The 8,915-nt window shown below is 52.9% G+C and overlaps 4 annotated features.

Annotated features, from left to right (window-relative positions):
- Positions 2,855 to 3,044: an enhancer, noted in NCBI's record as "active region_10609". NCBI's record gives its function as "activates an Ori minimal core promoter by ATAC-STARR-seq in GM12878 lymphoblastoid cells {active_cell/tissue: GM12878}" and the evidence as "EXISTENCE:reporter gene assay evidence [ECO:0000049][PMID:35858748]".
- Positions 5,147 to 5,693: an enhancer, noted in NCBI's record as "H3K4me1 hESC enhancer chr16:27121865-27122411 (GRCh37/hg19 assembly coordinates)". NCBI's record gives its function as "activates a minimal SCP1, AML or CMV promoter by ChIP-STARR-seq in primed H9 embryonic stem cells {active_cell/tissue: H9 hESC(primed)}" and the evidence as "EXISTENCE:reporter gene assay evidence [ECO:0000049][PMID:30033119]".
- Positions 5,694 to 6,242: an enhancer, noted in NCBI's record as "H3K4me1 hESC enhancer chr16:27121316-27121864 (GRCh37/hg19 assembly coordinates)". NCBI's record gives its function as "activates a minimal SCP1, AML or CMV promoter by ChIP-STARR-seq in primed H9 embryonic stem cells {active_cell/tissue: H9 hESC(primed)}" and the evidence as "EXISTENCE:reporter gene assay evidence [ECO:0000049][PMID:30033119]".
- Positions 6,281 to 6,480: a silencer, noted in NCBI's record as "silent region_7297". NCBI's record gives its function as "represses an Ori minimal core promoter by ATAC-STARR-seq in GM12878 lymphoblastoid cells {active_cell/tissue: GM12878}" and the evidence as "EXISTENCE:reporter gene assay evidence [ECO:0000049][PMID:35858748]".

Genomic DNA, 8,915 nt, shown 5'->3' with positions numbered 1-8,915 from the left:
TCTTTTAATAAATTACCCAGCCTCAGGTATTCCTTTACAGCAATGCAAAATGGACTAACAAAGTTCATAACCATGTTTAATTTGTGTCCATTCTTCCAATCAATTTAGGTTTCCTTACATTCCTTGGGGTTACCCCTAAGTTCGGCAGGGGCGGAGGTCAGGGTGTTGGGGAGGGGACATCCATGATTTTCTGAGATTCTCAGCCAGTCTTTGACGTCAGGCCATGCGTGCTGCTGTGGCGCTGTGTATAACTGCATCCAAGTCTGAGGGATGCTCCTTGCTGCCCTCGAATGCCAACTCCTGGGTGCATTGAGATCAGGTGGGTGCCCATGCTAAGTTCAATGAGATGCACTGGGAAGTTACTGAGCTTTTCTTTCCTTTTCTTTTTCTTTTCTTCCTTTTTTTTTTTCTTGTTTTTTTTGAGGCGGAGTCTCACTCTATCGCCTAGGCTGGAGTGCAGTGGCATCATCTCGGCTCACTGCAACCTCCACCTCCCAGGTTCAAGTGATTCTCCTGCCGCAGCCTCCTGAATAGCCGGGATTACAGGGATGCGCCACCATGCCCAGCTAATTTTTGTCTTTTTAGTGGAGAGGGGGTTTCACCACATTAGCCAGGCTGGTCTCAAACTCCTGACCTCAGGTGATCCACCTGCCTCAGCCTCCCAAAATGTTGGGATTACAGGCATGAACCACCACGCCCAGACAATTACTGAATTTTTCTGAACCCTCCTGAGTCCTTCACCACGTCCACATTGCTCTTACACGCCTGGGACTCCTGCACTGCTCCACACCAGCTTGTGCATGGAGAGCTCTGGAAGCCTCTCCCAGCTACATTAGTCTAGGCACCGCCCCTACCTTCACAGGTCCACCTTCCTCTCCTGATTGGGCTTCAGCCTGGGTGGGGAAGACCCGGGACCCTTTCCCAGGGACCCTTCAGCATCTCATTCTCTTTGCTGCTCTTCAAATCCCTGGCATGGGGCAGGGCAGTGCTGGCTGCCTTACGTGCCTGGGTCTCATTGCTCCTTTCCACGACCCCAGTATGTTGGGTTCCATTTGGGTTTCCTTTTTAATAGATGGCGGAACTGAGGGCCAGAGAGGCAATGGGCATAGCAGAGCCAGGAGTGAAACCCAGGTGTGTCTGAGCCCTGTGCCAAAGCTCTTTCATCAGCACCCAGCTACTTCTCAGGAAGCACAACTGGGGATGTTACTGAAGTGCGAGAATTTGTGGACCCTGAGAGGTGATGTGGAGAGATTTGAGGCAAGAAAGGCCTGATCATAACCTGGAAAAGAGACCCCAGGGCACCCTCTGCCTTCAGGGGTTCCAGAGTGAGTGTCCTCACTCTCTCCAGAGTGAACATAAAGCTTTTTTTAATTCCACAAATATTTATCAAGACCCCTTATGTTCACTACTGCCAGGACTACAGCAGTGAACAAAAAGACTAGTGGAAAAAAAGACTGCCCTTGTGTAAGTAACTCTTTTTTTTTCAAAAGACAAGATCTCACTCTGTTACCCAGGCTGGGAATACAGTGGTGAGATCATAGCTCACTGTAGCCTCCAGCTCCTGGGCTCAAACAATCCTCCCACCTCAACCTCCCATGCAGCTGGGACTACAGGCACACACCACCATGCCTGGCTAATCTTTTTTTTTTTTTTTTGTATTGTTGTAGAGATGGGGTTGTGCTATATTGCCCAGACTGGTCTCAAACTCCTGGGCTCAAGCAATCCTTCTGCCTAAGCCTCCCGAAGCACTGGGATTATAGATGTGAGCCACCATGATGCTTGGCCAGAATCAACATTGCTATAGGTATAAACAGAAACAAACCCACAAAGAACTGAAGAGGTTAATTCTGGATTGGTTATCAGTCAAGTGAAGGATATGGATGAGTGTGTGTGACAGGTGGTCAGGGAAAGCCTCCCTGAAGAGTGACATTTGGGCTGAGACCAGCTGCATAAAGATCTGGGAACAGTGTCCCAAGGTAGATGGAACAGAAAATATGTGGCACTAACGAGGCCACAGGCTTGGTGCAGCTGAGGGACAGAAAGGAGCCAGGTATGGCCAGAGCATAGCAAAGGAGCTGGAAGAGTTGTGTGAGGGGGTTGGGAGCTGGGCAGGGGCTAGAGCATGAGGGTCTTATTGCCAGTTACCGTGCAGGCAGGATACAGACAGCACACTCAAGGGGTGGGGTCATTGGTGAAAGTTTAGTGAAAGAATGAAAGGACTCTTTTTGTTTTTTTTGAGACAGGGTCTCACTCTGTTGCCCAGGCTGGAGTGCAGTGGTGCGATCACGGCTCACTGCAGCCTCGACCTCCTAGGCTCAGGTGATCCTCTTGCCTCAGCCTCCCTCTTTATGGAGGTGTGGATCAGGTTGAGAGAAACTGAAAAGAGGTAACAAAGGACTTTGGGACCAGCAGCAGTGGGGCACTTGTTACCATCTTCAGTCCTAAATGGGCCAGGAAGGCCCTGTTAGTTAGGGGAACCCAGCCAGAGCGGTAGCTGTAGGAGGTGGCCCACAGCTCTCACCCAAGGGACCCAGCTGCTGTCACCCATGGCCAAGCAGAGAGGAAGCCGGGGAGTAATACCCCACCTCTCTCTCCTCCTGCTCGCTGACCTCCTGCTTCACCTCTTACTCCTATTGGTTGAAGTCAATCAGGAGCCAGATGGCAGAGAGCAAAGGTTGATGCAGCCTCTGCAGGTCAGCCTCCAGACACAGGTCAGGTCTGAGTACTGGGCCGGGTGCAGAAGGCTGGAGAGGAAGCCCGAGGACAAACGGAAACTGCAGCACAGTCAGAACAGGCAGCGTGCATTTTATTCTGAGGTCAATGAGAAGCCATGGCTGGGTTTAAGCCGGGGTGGGATCTGATCTGGATTGTCTTACCCTCTCAGGCTGCTGTCTGGAGGGTGGGGAGGTGCGTGGCAGTGGAGGCTGCCGGAGCTATTCGGGTTGGTGGTGATGGGAGCTTGGGCCCGGAGGAAGCAGCAAGGCTGGAGAAGAGAGCAGGGCCTTGTGTTGATATCTGAGGTGAAACTGACAGGTGGTGGTGGATTGGGTGCAAGGGAGTCAGGTCATGTGATAAAGAAGCACGAGGGACCAGGCGCAGTGGATCTCTCCTGTAATCCCAGCACTTTGGGAGGCGGAGGCAGGTGGATCACCTGAGGTCAGGAGTTCGAGACCAGCCTGGCCAACACGGTGAAACCCTATCTCTGCTAAAAATACAAAAATTAGCCGGGCATGGTGGCAAGTGCCTGTAATCCGAGGTACTTGGGAGGCGGAGGCAGGAGAATCACTTGAACCCGGGAGGCAGAGGTTGTAGTGAGCCAAGATTGCACCACTGCACTCCAGCCTGGGCGACAAGAGCAAAACTCCCTCTCAAAAAAAGAAAAAAAAAAAAAAAGATGCACACACAAAAAAGGAAGAAAAATAATGGATGGCTTAATCTCAGCCTCTCTTGAAGCTCAGGAAGCTCACAGCAAAGTGCATATGACTTTACCCTCTGGATTTGCTCCCTTTGCCTACCCTCACCACTTCACAGGGAAAGGGGGCTTAGATGAAGTCCTTAGGAGAACCTATGTGGCAGATGTCCTCCTTACAGCTGAAGGAGTCTGGCATCAGAGAAGTTAAGCCATCTGCCCAAGGTCACACAGCACATCTGTGCACGTGAGGATTTGGACCTGGGTCTGTCTGATTCAAGGAAGCCCTGTGTAGGACTCAGGTGAGATATCTTGCATTAGACATCAGCCTGGAACTGGAGCTTTACTGCCCCAGGAGCTCTGCTCTAGAGACGGGATGTAAGTGCACCATCACGTGCACATCATTTGGGACTAGCTGGAGGAAATACATGAGCATTTGTGGCATGCAAGAAAGTGAGCAGAGCAGGAGCCTAGCAGACTTTTCTTTCTTTTTTTTACTGTTAAAGAATTGGGGGACAAGGAAGGGGACTAACATTTATGACATTCATTCATTCATTCATTCATTCATCCATCCATCCTTTGGTTCAATGATCCAGGTTTCTTGCTGGGCAGGCAAGTTACTTGCATTGTCTCATTCAATCCCCCAAATGAACAATCCAGCCAAGGCAGGAACCCCGCTTCATCCCTGTTTTGCAGGCCTGAGGAAATGGAGGCTCTGTGAGGGGAAGTGACTTGCTCAAGGTAACAGACCCACCCCCTCTCTCTTCCCTAAAACATTTTCCCCTCAGCGTAGCATCCACCCGGCAGCAGACTGTAGAGGGCAGGGGGTGCTGAAACCAGGCTGTCTGTTTAAATCTTGGTTCCCCTTTAATAGAGCTGTGACCTTGATTTCCACATTTGTAGAATGGGTTAGAAATGGTATCTACATCAAAGGCCTGCTGTGGAGATTGATGGAGATAAGGGATACAAATGCCTGCAGAGCAAGGGCTCAGAGTACTTTGGCTATCACTGTGATCTCCCTTCCCGAAATCGGTGTCAAGTTCAAGCTCCTTGAGGGAGGCTTCTCAGCCATCTCTGGGCTCTGTTAACTCACAAGCACCAGATCAACTCTGCTGCCTTCCCTGAGATGCTGCAGGGCCAGGTCCTGCGGGTGGGGGCGCAGGGATGGCAGGACAAACTCTGCCTTCGAGCTGTCATACCTGGTGCAGGAGACAGATGCAGGGACATGGCACATACACCCCCATGTAGTTAAGTGCAATTGTAAAGATGAGTTCAAATAAGAGCCATGATAATGGTGACCCCCAACCCGTCACTTTTTTTTTTTTTTTTTTTGAGACGGAGTTTCGCTCTGTCGCCCAGGCTGAAGTACAGTGGCACGATCTCGGCTCACTGCATCCTCCGCCTCCCTGGTTCAAGGGATTCTCCTGCCTCAGCCTCCCAAGTAGCTGGGATTACAGGCGCCCACCACCAGGCCCGGCTAATTTTTGTATTTTTAGTAGAGATGCGGTTTCACCATGTTGGCCAGGCTGGTCTCGGACTCCTGACCTCAAGTGATTCGCCCACCTCAGCCTCCCAAAGTGCTGGGATTAGAGGCGTGAGCCACCACACCCGGCCCCCAACCCATCACTTTTTAGTGTATCACCTTGTTGTATTTATTTCTTAGTACTTATTAATATTCAGATCATCGTGTGCATTTGTTGGTTGACTTTTGTATCGCCTGTCTTCAGCACTAAGTACCATATTTACCACGATCTCCTCACTGTCTAACATAGCTCCTGGCATCCAGCAGACACTCCGTAAATATTAATTGAATGTACCAGTGAGTTGTTGGGTGAAATGAAGCCCCACAAGTCAGCACTGTCCCTCCTGACATGGAGGAGAGAGGCAGGAGATAGGTGGCAGGGACTGTGTGGGCTCTGCCTCTGAGCCTCCCCGACCCCCTCCCTCGCCCCCTCCCTGTCTTTCCTGACCCCCTCCCTGAGCTCCCTGCCCACAGCTGAGGTCACCAGGGATGCTGGCAGGGACTGCAGCCTCTGGCCACTTTGGAGGTTGGCTCCCCACACACCCCCGGGTCTGGCAGCTGTTTGAGGTCAGCTCCCGGAGCTCATGGGAGTTTCCTGATGTAAGGCTGGTCTGGAGGGTCTGGGCAGCAGACTGTAGGCAGGTGGCGTTGAGCAAACCTCTGGAGCTCCCAGCATCTTTTCTTGTAGGATGGGAAGATCCTAGCATCCACTTTGAGCTGTATGGTGGAGTCCCGAGCCTGAGGGCTCAGGATGGGCCTTGGTGCCTTCAAACCGGGGCACTGCCACTTCCTAGCTGTGCGCGCTTGATTTCTCTGGGCCCAGCTGCAAAGTGGGGATAAATAGTACGACCTCATGGCTCCGGCTGGATTAGAGGAGTCCGCCTAGGAGAAGTGGCGGCCAAGAGCAAGCCCCTAGGCAGGATCAGCCGCGCCCTTTCGAGGGTCCAGGCCTGGTCCCAGAGATCCCAAGGGCCAGGGCCACGCCTGGGGTCCCCCTGCTCCCTGGGACCCTCTCGGAGCAGCTCCTTCTCCACTTCCCAGGCTCTATCCGTGGCCGCTGGGCTGCAGCAAAGAGCTTCTCTGAGTGCTTCGAACGTGCCTCTTAAAAAAAAAAAAAAAAAAAAAAAAAAAGGAAAGCCCTTTCTTGGAGAGTTGCCCACGGCAGACACAATTTAAATTAACTTAAACTATTTCCTTCCCCTCCCCCACCTCGTTATCCTTTTTCAGAGAGTAGGGAAGAGAAAACGTTTTCGGGAGAAAGCTACGGGAGGAGCTCCTCTCTCTCTCTTCCGTCCAGCGGATGCCGGGGCTGCAGAGGCCAAAGTTTGCAGCGGGCGCGGCGGGGCGGGAGCGGGGAGCGGCGGGTGGGGCGGCTGCTAAGGGAACGCGCGGGCGGCTCCCGGAGCCCGGGGAAGGAGGGGCGGCCGCCCCCGGTCCCGCCGCCGCCTCTGCAGTGCCGCGCATCGCCGCTGGGGGGCAGCAGGGCCCCGCGGAGGCCAAGTCCCGTCGGAGACCGCACAGCTCCTGGTCTCGTACCCCAGACCCGCCTTCCCTGACCTCCGCCCTGGCTGCTCACGGGACCCCGGGGACCAGAGGTCGCCGAGGCAGCAGCCCGCTCTCCTTGCTCCTCCCCTCTTTCATCTATCCCTAATTCATTAATTCATCCGTCCTTTCCGCCTTCGTTTCTCCAACCCCCACATATCACTTTTTCTCCCTTCTCCTCCTTTCCCTATCTTCTTTTCTTCCCTTCCTCCTCTTCATTCATTCATTCCTCCCTCGTATCCTTTCACCCACCCACCCACCACTCATCCATTCTTCCGTCCATCCACCCATCATCTATCTATCCCTCCAACTTCCCCTCCTTCCTTTCCTTCCTCCCTGCCTTCTTCCCTTTTCCCTCTTTCCCTTCCTTACTCTCTCTCCTTTCCTCCCTCCCTCCCTCCTTTCTTCCCTTCTTTCCCTTTCATTCTCCCTCTCTTTTCCTCCTTCCCTTCCTCCCTCTCTCTTTCCCTCCCTCCCCCTCCCTTCCTCCCTCCCTCCTGCCCTTTTTTCCTCCCTCCCTTCCTCCCTTCCTTCCCTCTTCTTTTCTTCCCCCACTCTTTCCTCCCTTCCTTTCCTCCATCCCTCTTTCCTCCCTTTCTCTTCCTTTCTTCTGGATTCTGGAGTCAGATTTAACTTCAGTCTCTGGGTACGTGGTTACCTGGCCTGCATGGCTGTTTCTGCACCTGGGAGGGGAGGACGCCTGGCCAGCCTCACAGAGCCGCGGGCAGGATCGAACCGGACAGTCGCAGAAGAGCCTTGCACAGGCTCCGCACCAGTGAGAGCCCAGGGCTGTGCCAGGAGGGGCACGTCCAGGCCCTTACTTCTCTAATCTGGCTGCGCCTTAGAATCACCCGGGAGCCTTTAAGACATACCGGTAACCAGAACTTCTGGTGGGTCCCAGACACTATTTTATTTTATTATTTTATATTTTATTTTATTTATTTTATTTTTGAGACAGAGTCTCCCTGTGTCGCCAGGATGGAGGGCAGTGGCTCCATCTTGGCTCACAGCAACCTCTACCTCCCGGGTTCAAGCAATTAATTCTCCTGCCTCAGCCTCCTGAGTAGCTGCCTGCCACCACCCCAGCTAATTTTCGCAGTTTTGTAGAGATGGGGGTTTCACCGTGTTGGCCAGGCTGGTCCCGAACTCCTGACCTCTAGTGATCCGCCTGCCTTGGCCTCCCAAAGTGCTGGGATTACAGGCCTGAGCCACTGCGCCTGGCGTTTGCTTTTTATTTTAATGGGCAGCCAGGGTGGAGAAATGATGCTCACGTTGTTTTTGATAGAGGCCAACTAGTGCCAGGTGAATGGGGGTATGGGGGTGAACAGAGGCAGTGGGACTTGACCGCACCCTCTGCCCACTGGCACATCTCCCCTCCTCCCGCTCCTCTAGGAGTCTTGGGGACTCCAGGATCCCTGCGGTGCTCCTGCCGCAATGCACCAAGCACACTCACACCCCAGGCCTTCCTCTGCACATGCCGTCCCCCACCTGCCTGCCTGATGTGTTATACAGATGCCTGGAGGCCACCCCTCTGTAGCACTCTGGGCCAATGCCCCTTCCCTGGCCACAGTTCCCAGGCAATCAGTGTGCCCCTTGTGCACCCCCACATAATCCCTTGCAGTTGCCTGTTTTGCCCCCATCTTCTCCTGTGTGTGGGGGTGCCCCAGGGACAGGGCTTAGATCTGATTCTTCTCTGAGTGTCCCAAGCCTGGCCCAGAGGAGGCACTGATAGAGGCGGATGCACTGATGTTTTGCTGCTAGGACTTGCTTTTGATAAAACCAGTGATATGGTCACCAGCAAATACCCCTTTTCCCTCCTGCCTGGGCCCCCCAGGACCAGCTCCAGTGGCTCTTCAGGGTGAGTCTACTTTCTGGGTGTGGTACTCCTCTCCTGGGTGTACCCAGAGCTTGTAAACTGGTCAGACTTCCCCCACTGATAACATTTTGTTTGGCATGCGGATAATTATTATTTTTTCCCAAGAAGTAGACCAGGTGCAGTGGCTCGAGCCTGTAATCCCCACACTTTGGGAGGTCAAGGTGGTTGGATCACTTGCGATCAGGAGTTCAAGACTGTAAGAAACATTCTTACCCATCCAAACCCAAAGAATGGACTCAGGGACATGGAGAACAGCAGAAGTGAGACTTTAATGGTGGTCTTGCAAGATTGGTGTCTGGCATGCAGGCACACCCAGAACGGTTTTAACAAGCTATTTACTCCCTAGCGCTCAAGTCCCTCCCCCAGTTCCTCATTGGCTGAGTACTATGGGGTTACAATCTTCCCGGACGTCACCTATTGGTGGTTGTATTAAGGTTTCAAGTATGTTCTTTAGGGTCTTTCTGCTGCCTTTTATTGCAGCCCATAATGCATTGCGACTATCTCAGGACTCTTTAAACATTTGACTTATGGCCCTAGTGGCTGCACTTGGCTGATAAGAAAGGGTA

Source organism: Homo sapiens, chromosome 16 (assembly GCF_000001405.40).
Source record: "Homo sapiens chromosome 16, GRCh38.p14 Primary Assembly".
Taxonomy (NCBI): Eukaryota; Metazoa; Chordata; class Mammalia; order Primates; family Hominidae; genus Homo; species Homo sapiens.
This window is presented reverse-complemented; position numbering and strand designations above follow the sequence as displayed.